Source organism: Homo sapiens, chromosome 1 (genome assembly GCF_000001405.40).
Source record: "Homo sapiens chromosome 1, GRCh38.p14 Primary Assembly".
NCBI lineage: Eukaryota > Metazoa > Chordata > Mammalia > Primates > Hominidae > Homo > Homo sapiens.
The window spans coordinates 23,240,268-23,253,856 of NC_000001.11; the positions used below are offsets into that span (position 1 = coordinate 23,240,268).

Genomic DNA, 13,589 nt, shown 5'->3' on the forward strand with positions numbered 1-13,589 from the left:
TGTATTTTTACAGATAAAAATAAATTTATTTTTCTTAAAATATTATGCTTGACAGATTTGACTATGCAAAAAATAAATTTTTCTTTATGGCAACGACACTGTTAACAAAGCCAAAATAATAGATTAGGGACAAATTTTTCCACATAAAACAAAGGGTTCGCCGGGCGCGGTGGCTCACGCCTGTAATCCCAGCACTCTGGGAGGCCGAGGCGGGCGGATCACGAGGTCAGGAGATCAAGACCATCCTGGCTAACATGGTGAAACCCCGTCTCTACTAAAAATACAAAAAAAAATTTAGCCGGGCGTGGCGGCGGGCGCTTGTAGTCCCAGCTACTCGGGAGGCTGAGGCAGGAGAATGGCGTGAACCCGGGAGGCGGAGCTTGCAGTGAGCGAAGATCGCACCACTGCACTCCAGCCTGGGGGACAGAGCGAGACTCCGTCTCAAAAAACAAAACAAAACAAAAACAAAACAAAAACAAAGGGTTCATACAAAGAATTATCCTAAGAAGTGCATAGGAGCTGGGCGAGGTGGCTCACGCCTGTAATCCCAGCACTTTGGGAGGCCGAGGCAGGCGGATCACCTGAGGTCAGGAGTTTGAGACCAGCCTGGCCAACGTGGTGAAACCCTGTCTCTACTAAAAATACAAAAATTAGCCAGGCGTGATGGTGGGTGCCTGTAATCTCAGCTACTTGGGAAGCTGAGGCAGGAGAATCACTTGAACCTGGGAGGTGGAGGTTGCCGTGAGCGGAGATTGCGCCACTGCACTCCAGCCTGGGTGACAGAGCGAGACTCCGTCTCAAAAAACAAACAAGCAAAAAAACCCCACAAAAATTAGCTGGGCATGGTGGCACATGCCTGTAATCCCAACTACTTGGGAGGCTGAGGCACGAGAATCGCTTGAATCCCGGGGGGGCAGAGGGTGCAGTAAGCTGAGATCATGCCACTGCACTCTAGCCTGGGAGACAGAGGGAGATTCCATCTCAAAAAAAAAAAAAAAAAAAAAAACAGTTCATAGGAAGAAGACAAAGAACCCACTAGAAAAATGGGCAAATGCCCGGGTGCGGTGGCTCACGGATCACGAGGTCAGGAGATCGAGACCACGGTGAAACCCCGTTTCTACTAAAAATACAAAAAAAAAAAAAATTAGCTGGGCGCGGTGGAGGGCGCCTGTAGTCCCAGTTGCTCGGGAGGCTGAGGCAGGAAAATGGCGTGATCCCGGAAGGCGGAGCTTGCAGTGAGCCGAGATCACACCACTGCACTCCAGCCTGGGCGACATATCGAGACTCCGTCTCAAAAAAAAAAAAAAAGAAAAGAAAAAGAAAAATGGGCAAAGGACACAGAGAATTCATAGCAGTTGACTGCAAGTGGCCAAAACACTTAGGAGATCGTGCTCACCCTCACAGGGAGGTCAGGGAATACACATTTACAACCAGAAGATACTATTTTTCTCTTACAATATTGACAACAATTTAAACAATTAGTAATATATGGGGAAGTGTTAATGAGCCACAAATCGCTACCCTTTTTTTTTTTTAGAGACGGGGCCTCCCTATGTTGCCCAGCATAAAATACAGTGGCTACTCACAGGCACCATCAAAGTGCACTGCAGCCTCAAACCCCTGGGCTCCCACCTCAGCCTCTTGAGTAGCTGGGACTACGGGCATGCACTACACACCCAGCTAATATTTTTTAAAAATCGCTCTTTTTTAAAAACTGAAATACAATTCAGATCATAAACTCATGCTTTAAAGCTTGCTACAACCTTTGAGAAAATCATCTGACATTATTTATTAAAATTTAAAACATGCATACATAACTAAATTATTAAAAATTAAAATGCATACTTTTTGACACAGCAATTCCACTTCTAGGAAATAAAACTATGAGTGCTTTTATTAACGATATGTGTGCAAGGAGATTCACTGAAGCACTCATAACCGCAACAAGCAAAAAAACTGGACCCAAGCTACAAGGCCACCAGTGAGAGAAAGCTGCATGAATGAGTCTACATATCTCACATAGGATGTTACTAGCTACTAAAAAGAATGAAATATTGCATATGAATATGAATGACCGCTAGGACATGGTATTATAGTGAAAAAAGCAAGGTGCAGGCTGGGTGCGGTGGCTCATGCCTGTAATCCCAGCAATTTGGGTGTGCAAAGTGGTCGAATCCTTTGAGCCTAGGGGTTTGAGACCAGCCTGGGCAACATGGCGAAATCCCATCTCTCCAAAAAACTTACAAAAAGTAGCTGAGTGTGATGGCACACGCCTGTGGTCCCAACTACTTGGGAGGCTGAGGCGGGAGAACTGCTTGAACCCAGGAAGTCGAGGCTGCAGTGAGTCATGATTGTGTCACTGCACTCTAAGTCTGGGCCTAGAGTGCAGTGGCACAATCATGAGCCTTTAAGAGCCTGTCCCGAAAAAAAAAAAAAAAAAAAAAAAAAAGCAAGGCGCAGAACAGTATTATATGTACAAGATATACAGTATATCCTGTTATGTAAAACTGGGGATGGGGGGCAATGCATATACATAATTGCTTATCCATGCTTAATGCAGCCCTGGAAGGATGCACAAGAAAGGTAACACTGGAAGCTTTTGGGGAGATAACCGGGTACCTGGGGTAGGGGTGAGAGGGAGGCTCATTTTTGAATATTCTTGTGTACCTCTGGAGTTTTGAATCATGTGAATTACTTAATATAATTGTAGATTAATTAATATATCTAAATATATTGGAAAGCTGTCTGCTATGTATTGTTAAATGAAAAAAGTATATTCCAGAACAGTATAGAATGATTCTTTTTGTAGAAAAAGGAAAGAAAGCAAAAGAAAGGAACAAACATCCTAACACTATACACACATACACGCACATATCTTTGTTTAGGCATTAAAAAAAAAAGAAGAATGGGCAGGTGCAGCGGCCCACACCTGTAACCCCAGCACTTTGGGAGGCCAAGGTGGGAGGATGCTTGAGGCCAGGAGTTCAAGACAAGCCTGGGCAACATAGTGAGATCTCATCTCTACAAAAAACTTCAAAAATTAGCCAGGAACGGTGGCTCAAGGCTGTAGTCCCAGCTACTCAATAGTCTGAGGCAGGGGGATCGCTTGAGCCCAGCAGTTCGGGGCTACAGTGAGTTATAATTGTGCCAATGCACTCCAGGCTAGGTGACAAATGCAAAACCCCATCTCAAACTAAACAACTAAACTAAACTAAACTAAAAACAACAGCAACAAAAAAAAGAAAAATGTTCTTTACACATGACCATGCATAACTTCCATAATTTAAAAAAGAGTATTAAAAATAAATTGCCTTTGTTTTTATTTGTTGTCACAATGCTTAATAGTTTTGAGCTGATGACTCTGGTCTGGAAGATTTTCATGCAAATTCTCAGTATCTCAGACACAGCAGGAAGAGCTTCTCTTGTCACCCTGAGACCTACTCTGCAGGTTGGACGTTGCTTTCCCTGTCCTCAGAAATTTCAAGTTCTGTATTTTTAACCCAACAGCCTTGGCTCTCCAAGCACCTTCCTGCAGAGGTGAGAAAGATGCAGACTTCCCAGGATGTTAAAGAGATCAGAGGAGATGTTTTGGGAAACAGAATGAGAGAGACAGGAGCAGGGGGAGGCACGGGAGGCTCCTGGAACCCAGTGCCAGCCTCTGCCCTCAAGGAGCTGGGTAGAAGCCCTTCCAGCTCCCCACGGCTGCCTGGGTGTCAGTTCTGTTCCGGCCCCTAAGAGTCGCATTTTTGTTATTTTGGCAGGGGTAGACAGTTATAGGGCTTCATTCCTCAGTGACATCCCTGTGATGCTTCATTCCCACATATCATGAAGGGCTGGGCTGAGTCTTACATGGTTAGTCGCAGTGGAATCTCCAGCCAGCTTGGTTTCCACTAACCTGCTGGCTTTCTTGGATTGATTTACCGGTTATGTGCATCAGAGTCCCAGAGACTTGGTCTTCAACCCTATCTCTGCCACATACTATGTATGGGATTCCGGCCAGGTGACTTAACTTCTCTAAGCCTCAGTCTCCTCATCTGGAAATTGGGGGTGAGGGCGAATAAGCTCCTTTTCATGAAGATTTTGTGAGAGGCATGATGCTTCTAGTGAGCCTGGCACAGGGTGGATGCCACATCTGAAGCCACTGGCCTTAGGCTCAGTGGAGTCACAGCAAGTGGGAGGTGGCAGTGTGAGGTCACAGCAGTTCCTCTGTCCTGAATGAGCTGTAACCCTGGGAGTAACCTCATGATGTGAGCTGGATGGGCACTGCATGCATGTGCATTTGTGTGGGAATGCGTGGGCCTGAGTAGGAGGGAAAGCATGTCTAGAGTTGTCTCTTCCAGGTAATAACATAACTAGCTGGTTCAGTGAGAACTGCGGGCCAACTGTCTGCCATCTTGAAGCCCGAAAAGCAAGAATCAAGGGGCTGTCTCAGCCAAGGCTCTAAGGCCCAGTTTATCAACATAGGCCTTTAGGGGAGCCGCGGCTTAAGGTGCAGATATGGCCAAGTCCAAGAACCACACCACACACAACCAGTCCCGAAAATGGCAAAGAAATGGTCTCAAGAAACCCCGATCACAAAGATACGAATCCCTTAAGGGGGTGGACCCCAAGTTCCTGAGGAACACGTGTTTGCCAAGAAGCACAACAAGAAGGTCCTAAAGAAGATGCAGGCCAACAGTGCCAAGGCCGTGAGTGCACGTGCCGAGGCTATCGAGGCCCTCGTAAACCCCAAGGAGGTTAAGCCCAAGATCCCAAAGGGTGTTAGCCGCAAGCTTGATCGACTTGCCTACATTGCCCACCCCAAGCTTGGGAAGCGTGCTCATGCCCGCATTGTCAAGGGGCTCAGGCTGTGCCGGCCAAAGGCCAAGGCCAAGGATCAAATGAAGGCCCAGGCTACAGCTGCAGCTTCAGTTCCAGTTCGGGCTCCCAGAGGTGCCCAGGCCCCTACAAAGGCTTCAGAGTAGAGATCTCTGTCTGCCAGTGTGAGGACAGAAGGACTGCTGCGATCCCTCTGGGCTGCCGTCTGCATGGGGCTGGGGTCCTACTGTGCTATTTATACAAATAAACCTGAGGCAGGATGAAAAAAAAAAGATCGCCCTCTAAGTCCCTCGTGGGGCATAGTCAGCAACTCTCCCCCTTGTTCTTCTGCTCCTCACACCTCAAGTGAGATTGGACAAGCACTGTCATTAATTATTTCAGAGGTAACCGAAGCAGTGCTCGCCACCCCAACAGCTGAGGCTGCAAATGCCAGGTTGGTTTTATTTTTCAGGGAAATAGTTGCATCCACCAATCACAAGCCCATCCTGTTGAGTGCCCAGCGGTGGGTTGGGCTGGGTGAGGGGATGGTACCTAGTTCTGGCCCTGATGGGGCTTTTGGGGTGGCCTAGAGGGGTAGGGAGAAAGGTCACCTGAGAACAAGCTAGTCCCCTGCTCTGGGAGGCTGGCTCAGTGCGAGAGCTGGGCCTTTGAGAGTGGGAAGGACTGGGATAGGTGGGGATGAGAACCTGGGTTTGTGTCCAGGCTCCTCACTTCTTAGCCGTGTGACCTTGAGCAAGGTCAAACACCTTGCCTCCATTTCCTCATTCTAGGCAATTGGTCAGGCATTTGGAAACATCACGCTGGGCACGGTGGCTCACACCTGTAATCCATGCACTTTGGGAGGCCGAGGCAGGCAGATCATTTGAGGCCAGGAGTTTGAGACCCTGGCCAACATGGTGAAACCCCGTCTCTACTAAAAATACACAAAAATTAGCCGGGCATGGTGGTGGCACGCGCCTGTAGTCCCAGATACTCAGGAGGCTGAGGCGGGAGAATTGCTTGAACCCAGGAGCCGGAGATCACAGTGAGCTGAGATCACGCCACTGCACTCCAGCCTGGGCGACAGAATGAGACTCCGTCTCAAAAACAAACAAATAAACAAAAAAGCATTTGGGTGGGAAGGGGGTGAGGGATAAAAGACTACAAATTGGGTGCAGTGTATACTGCTCAGGTGATGGGTGCACCAAAATCTCAGAAATCACCACTAAAGGACTTACTCATGCAACCAAATACCACCTGTTCCCCAATAACCTATAGAAATAAACAATTAAAAAACAAAACAACCCATTGTACTGTGGAAGCAGTGGGAATAGCCAGAAGAGGAAACCGAGGTTCAGGCAAGCACAGTGACTGCCCGAAGCCACACAGTGAGTCACTTCCAAGCAGGACCCACAAGAGTCCCAGCCCAGGGTTGTAGCCTCTGTAACCTCTTTCCCATGGCCTCCTATGGTTCTCTCCTGTTCCCAGGCCCATCCCCATGGGCCCCATGTGCTTGGTGGCTGCTCTCTTCCTGTGATCCTGGAAACAGGCCTGGCACTGCCCAACTAATCTGGGTGCCCCATAACTGTCCTTCCCCTCCAGTGCATGAAGTTTGTTAAATGCTTCCTCTGAGTTCTCAGAGTAGGTCCAAATGGTGGCTCATCTGAAAAATGATGGGGTAAGATATGCTAAACTCCAACACTGGGGAATGGAAGGGATTTTCTTTTTGCCCAGGAACCCCTCCGAACCTTGGGGATTTCTGTCCTGAATTCAAGCTATTCCCACCACTTCTGTAGTATGATGCTTCCAAATTTCTGACCAAGAGCCTAAGAAGTTTCAAACAGCGGCTCACACAGCCGGATTGGCAGCACACAGCCTGGCAGCGAGGCCCTGAAACCTCACTGTCTGGATTTAAATCTCCAATCCACCACTAACTAGTTGTGTGACCTTGAGCAAGTTGCTTCACTAATCTGTGACTCCATTTCCCATATGAAAAATCGGCTGGTGGCCGGGCACGGTGGCTCACGCCTATAATCCCAGTACTTAGGGAGGCCAAGGTGGGTGGATCACCTGAGGTCAGGAGCTCGAGACCAGCCTGGCCAACATGGTGAAACCCCGTCTCTACTAAAAATACAAAAATTAGCTGGGTGTGGTGACAAGCACCTGTAATCCCAGCTACTCGGGAGGCTGAGGTAGGAGAATCGGTTGAACCTGGAAGACGGAGATTGCAGTGAGCCGAGATAGCACCATTGCACTCCAGCCTGGATGACAAAGTGAGACTCCGTCAAAAAAATTAAAAAAAGAAAAAAGAAAAATGGGCTGGCTTCTTTGGTTTCCTTGTTAAAAAAAAATTTTTTTTTAAAAAAGACAAATGGGGATAATAATAGTACCTATCTGATAAAGTTAGTGTGAAGTTTAAATGAGATAATACACGTAAGTGCTTCACCTGGTGCCAGGCCCATAATAAGGGCTCAATATCTGTCTCCCCACTTAGAGTGCAAGCTTGTTGAGGACAAGGATCATGTCTGTTTCGGACCTCGCACATAATGGACACTAAAATAAACAAACAAACAATTTAAATTTAAATTTGCTAGACCAGGCAGGGTGGCTCACATCTATAATCCCAACACTTTGTGAGGCTGAGGCAGGCAGACAGCTTGAGCCTAGGAGTTTAAGACCAGCCTGGGCAACATGGCAAAACCCCATCTCTACAAAAAAAATGCAGAAATTAGCTGGGCATGGTGGTGTGCATACCTGTAGTCCCAGCTACTCGGGGGGCTAAGGTGGGAGGATTACCAGAGCCCAAGAGGTCAAGTCTGCAGTGAGACATGATCGTGCCATTGCACTCCAGCCTGGGTGACAAAATGAGACCCTGTCTGAAAAAAAAAAAGCCAGGCATGGTGGCTCACGCCTGTAATCCCAGCACTTTAGGAGACCGAGGCCAGTGGATCACTTTGAGATCAGGAGTTTGAGACCAGCCTGGGCAACAGGGTGAAACCCAATCTTTACAAAAAACACAAAAATTAGCTGGGCACGCCTGTGGTCCCAGCTACTCGGGAGGCTGAGGCACGAAAATCGCTTGAACCTGGGAGGTGGAGGTTGGAGTGAGCCAAGAGCGCGCCACTGCACTCCAGCCTGGGTGACAGAGTGAGACCCTGTCTCAAAAATAAATAAATAAAAATAAATAAATAAATGTGCAGAATCGGAAAGCATGTGCACAGGATTCCAGTTCTTAGTTCTGAGACTCACGTTTGGAATGAATGATGTTTCATACTTGCTTTTAGACTCATACTTCTCACATTCTGCTCGCACAAGATTGCGCATCATTAGATTTGTGCTTTTTGGCCTTTACCACAACTGTAATACAATTATGTAATTTTTCATCGACGATTTGCCTTCCTTTCTAGACTATAAAATCCATTCAGGAAAGGCCCCTGCCTACTTTGATTACCCCCTACTATACCCATAGGCTTAGCACTGGCTCTGGCAAACATTAAACACTCAACAAATATTTTTCAACTGACTGATGGCTCAAAAGCTTAGCAGAAGATTAGTTAGTGAATGGAGTGGTTAATGAATAGAGAAAACTTGCTTTTTAAAAAGACTAATGAGGCCGGGCGTGGTGGCTAACACCTGCTGAGGCAGGAGAATGGCGTGAACCCGGGAGGCGGAGCTTGCAGTGAGCCGAGATAGAGCCACTGCACTCCAGCCTGGGCGACAGAGCGAGACTCTGTCTCAAAAAAAAAAAAGACTAATGAGCTGGGTGTGGTCACGTGTGCCTGCAGTCCCAGCTACTTGGGAGGCTAAGGAGACTGGATCCCTTGAGTCCAGGAGTTTGAGGCTAGCCTGGGTAACACAGACAGACCTCATCTCTAAAACATAAATAAATAAAAAGCAAAAGACTAGCCAGGTACAGTGGCTCACACCTGTAATCCCAACACTTTGGGAGGCCAAGGTGGGAAGATACTTGAGCTCAGGAGTTCAAGACCAGCCTGGGCAACAAACACAGCAAAACCCTGTCTTTACAAAAAATTTTAAAAATTAGCCAGACATAATGGTGCACACCTGTAGTTCCAGCTACTCAGGAGGCCGAGGTGAGAGGATTGCTTGAGCCCAGGAATTTTAGGCGGCAGTGAGCTTTGATCAACCGTGCCACTGCGCTCCAGCCTGGGTAACAAAATGAGACCCTGTCTCTAAAAAAAAAAAAATAAAATAAATAAAGAATAAAGAATTTTAAAAGACCAATAAAACACTAGTAAAATGTTAATACTCTATATAATAATATATTAAGATATATGCAGTTAGTGCAAGAATTCATTTAATATAAATAGCCAGGTATCACTAATTCTTACGTATTATTTGTTACTGCTAGGCTTAACCTTGACTTAGAGCTCTGGCTAGAAGAGAATATATCTTTTAATCAATTTTTCAACTCTTAACAGTCTAAAACTTCCCGGGATGTATATCTAAATATCTCCGTGGGGCTTAAAAACACCTTAGCAATAAAAGCCCTTATACATGGCTTTCCTTAGGAGCCAATGCTGTCCTATTCATAGCCATAAAGACTACATCCTTTCAACTGGGAGTACTAATCAGCTTTGCTGTTTCCTCTTCTTTCTCTACTCCTATTTTCCCCCCTGTATTTCAATCCACAGAAAGAAGAAAAAAACAAGAAAGGAAAGAAAGTGCCAAATCATGCAGTTTCTGCCCTTACCAGAAGCGTGAACCTTTTAATTGCCGTTCCCTGAGTGGAAAAAGATTTCTCTTCATCTGCTAGCTTTTCTCTAGTGATTTTTTTTTTCCTCTTCTTTTTTTGGAGGAAATTGCTTGTAGCTTCTCCCCTTCCCTTCTGACCAATTACTTAGCTGGGCATGCTGTAAAATAAAGTTTACATTAAATCGTCTCCATGGCAACCTCACACACCAGATCTCTAGTTTTAAAGCAATCATATCCCTTTTCCCATTCAAGCTTGCCAAAAAGTAACTTTTCTTGAAAGTACACAGACAGAACCTAATAAGGTTTGTAAAGAGAGATAAATTGGTTGCACAAGATAGGGGTCCCTTGATGGAGAACATGAGATGAATTCCTGAAAAAATATCTCCTGTAAACCATGGTTATTTACAGTGTGCTCAAACCATTTTAAGTCTCCATAAGAAAGCTTGTTGAATTGTAAATATCAGGGGGAGCTCTCATTTTTGGAGCACCACCCAGTCCGTGCTAGACACTGGTCTGAGCACTTTCTATCCATGAATTACCTCATTTGATTTAATCCTAGATGTATCCTGCAGAGATTTTTTTTTTTGCCCACAGATTGTCATTAGCGCCACTGGGCATCTGCTCATGTCGAAAATGTTTCAGTCTCCAAATTAACTACTTAGAGACGAAGTGTTCTTACACATACCTCCTAATAACAATAACAGCTGCCATTTACTGTGCTATGTCCACTGCCTGGAGATGTGCCTACCTCATCTCAGTTAATCATGAGAACAAGCTTAGGAGATCCTATTATCCCCTATTACAGATGAAGTAATTGAGGTTCACGGAGGGAAGGCAACTTGCTTACACAGCTAGGAAGTTGCAAAGTTGGGATTTGAACCAAGGTGGGTTTGGTCCCTGTCTTAGTTTGTTCTGGCTGCTATAACAAAAGACCATAGACTGGGTAGTTTGTAAACAACAGAAGTTGGCCAGGCGCGGTGGCTCACACCTGTAATCCCAGCACTTTGGGAGGCCGAGGCAGGTGGATCCTTACCTGAGGTAAGGAGTTTGAGACCAGCCTGACCAACATGGTGAAACACCGTCTCCAAATACAAAAATTAGCCGGGCGTGGTGGCAAGAGCCTGTAATTCCAGCTACTTGGGAGGCTGAGGCAGGAGAATCACTTGAACCCGGGAGGCAGAGGTTGCAATGAGCCGAGATTGTGCCATTGCACTCCAGCCTAGGTGACAAGAGTGAAACTTTGTCTCAAAACAAACAAACAAACAAACAAACAGCCAGAAATTTATTTCTCTCGCTTCTGGACACCGGGAAGTCCAAGACCAAAGCACTGGCAGATTCAGTGTCTGGTGAGGGCCCAGATGGGAACACAGCAAGGAGGCCCTGATCGTGCCTTCTTTATATCTTCAGATTAGACTTTATGGCTATGAGGACACCATTGGCTCCTTAGGAAAGCCACGTATAAGGAGTTTCACTGCTAAGGTGCTTTTAATCCCCACAGAGATATTTAGAGATACATCTCAGGAAGTTTTAGACTGTTAAGAGGTGAAAAATGGGTTAAAAAATATTTTCTCTCCTAGCCAGAGCCCTAAGTCAAGGTTAAGCCTAGAAGTAATAAGTAATAATAATTATGATACCTGGCTATTAACATTAAACTAGTTCTTGCTCTAACTGCACGTATCTTAATATATTATTAAATAGAGCATTAACATGCTCACACATGGTAGGAGTGAGGGGTCTCTCTTGGGTCTCTTTCATCAGGGCACTAATCCCAGCCATGAGGGCTCCATCCCCAAACCTAATCAGCTCCAAAAGGCCACACCTCCTAATAGCATCATATAGGGAGTGAGGATTTCAACATAGGAATCGAGGGGGTGGGACATAAACATTCAGACCATGGCTGTCCCAGAACAGGTACTCTTGTCACTCTGCCTCCCAGAAATTCTCCCAGCTAGGGAAACAAGGAAGAGAACATCCCTCTGCAGATGACATGGGTTTCCAGGTGTGGGTGTGAATGCCCTGGGCAGGCTCTGGACCAGGGGTGAGCAACTCTGGACCATGGGAGGTGAAGAAAAGAAGGAGTAGTCGCTCTCCCCTACTCCTTAAAGTTGCTGAGTTTTCATTGGTTCTCACCAACTGTAGTACTCATCTTTCTCTCTCCTCTCCCTCAACTTTTTGATCTGGCCACCTCCTACTCAACCTCCAAGTCTCAATTTAAAAGCTACCTCCTCTATGAAGCTTCCCTGTCTTTTCAGACAGAGTTCAGCCTGACAGATCTGGCTTAGTCACTTATGAGCTGTAGGACTTGTGCCAGATTTCTGTAGTTCTCAGAGCCCCAATTTGCTCATGTGTAAAATGGGGGCTTCACAGGGTCATCATGAGGTTTCAATGTGTTCATGGATGATAAAAGTACATAGCAGAGCTCCCAGCCAAGGGAGTTCAGCAAATGTCAGTTCCTGTTATTGGCCTTCTGTGGCATTTTATTCCCTTTTCTATTATCATAATTATCTTATTTGTAGCTTGCACATCTCCCCAATAATTGGTGAGGCTTTGAGGGCAGGATCCTTATTTTCTCTTTTGTATCTCCAGCCCTGGCACCAGCAAACATTTGTTGATTGAATGTATGAAAGATTATCTGGTACCATCTCCCAGAGCATTGGGCTCCTGGGAACTGTGGCCTGGAAGGAGTGGGGTGCTGGGGCTTCCCATGCTTCTCAAATGCAAATAGTTCTGAGAAAGATCACTAGACCAGCCAACCCTCAGCTGGGCTTGGTTGGTGTGCAGCTGAGAGAGACCACCATCTAGGGACCTGGGTTAGGAAGATGTATGCCCTGGGGGCAGGAAGATGGAAAACAACTTTGACCACTGCCAGCCTAGGCTAGGTCACTCTGAATAACCTTATGGTGTTTTGAATCAATTTTTTTTTTAAAAAGCAGAGCATATACAAATAAATAAAATAACAACAATCATCTTTTAGGCCTCCCAAATCTTGTGTGTTTCTGGTTCTCCATCCATTGATGCCAGAGGTTCCTAAGACTGGTCCATGAAGGCAAAAATAAAAATAAAAAAGGTTGCAACCTGTGGGCAAATGTGTGTGGGGAGGGACATGGGAGGGAGGGAACTGCCCACTCACAGCAGACTCCAGGTCTCCCTGCAAGGCTGCGGGCATTTTGTTTGGCCCAGCCTCTCTCCTCCTGTGTCTAACACTGTGGCCACCCGAGGAAACTGAAGAAAGGGCTTCCTCTGGGCTGGTCAGCTGCTGACCTGCTCAGGCTCATGACAGCTTTCAGACAGTGGATCCTCAGCAAACCCCTAAAGGGGATGGCTGAGGCTGAAAAGAGAGGAGGCAGGATGGTTTCTGCAAAGAACCAGGATCGCAGATGCGGCGCTTGGCCACGCTCCCCACCAGTCCGAGCTTGCGTGTGCTCAAATCACTGTCTACGCCGCTGTAGCTGCTGCCTGGCTTTCCCTGTTCCATCTCACCACTGGCACAACCTTGGGGCATGGGCAGAACTGGAAAGAACTTAGGCCGGGTGCAGTGGCTCATGCCTGTAATCCCAGCCCTATGGGAGGCCGAGGCAGGTGGATCACCTGAGGTCGGGAGTTCTAGACCAGCCTGGCCAACATGGTGAAACCCCGTCTCTACTAAAAATATAAAAATTAGTTGGACGTGGTGGAGGATGCCTGTAATCTCAGCTACTCGGGAGGCTGAGGCAGGAGAATCACTTGAACCTGGGAGGCAGAGGTTGCAGTGAGCCAAGATCAAGCCACTGCACTCCAGCCTGGGTGACAGAGCAAAACTCTGTCTCAAAAAAAAAAAAAAAAAAAGCATGTGCAGAACTGGAAAGAACTTAGGCCAGGCGCAGTGGCTCACGCCTGTAATCCCCAACACTTTGGGAGGCTGAAGTGGGCGGATCACCTGAGGTCAGGAGTTCAAGGCCAGCCTGACCAACATGGAGAAACCTCATCTCTACTAAAAATAAAAAATAGCCAGTTGTGGTGGCGCACGCCTGGAATCCCAGCTACTCAGGAGGCTGAGGCAAGAGAATCACTTGAACCCGGGAGGCAGAGGTTGCAGT

General features: G+C 46.6%; 1 pseudogene, besides 3 other annotated features; it reads left to right on the forward strand.

Moving 5' to 3' along the window:
* Positions 2,215-2,415: a silencer, noted in NCBI's record as "peak115 fragment used in MPRA reporter construct". NCBI's record gives its function as "represses an SCP1 promoter by STARR-seq MPRAs in K562 erythroleukemia cells {active_cell/tissue: K562}" and the evidence as "EXISTENCE:reporter gene assay evidence [ECO:0000049][PMID:32103011]".
* RPL29P6 (ribosomal protein L29 pseudogene 6) lies at positions 4,462-5,079 on the forward strand (annotated as a pseudogene).
* Positions 6,075-6,275: a silencer, noted in NCBI's record as "peak116 fragment used in MPRA reporter construct". NCBI's record gives its function as "represses an SCP1 promoter by STARR-seq MPRAs in K562 erythroleukemia cells {active_cell/tissue: K562}" and the evidence as "EXISTENCE:reporter gene assay evidence [ECO:0000049][PMID:32103011]".
* Positions 8,209-8,503: a silencer, noted in NCBI's record as "tiled region #9970; HepG2 Repressive DNase matched - State 3:PromF". NCBI's record gives its function as "represses a minimal TATA promoter and a strong SV40 promoter by Sharpr-MPRA in HepG2 cells {active_cell/tissue: HepG2}" and the evidence as "EXISTENCE:reporter gene assay evidence [ECO:0000049][PMID:27701403]".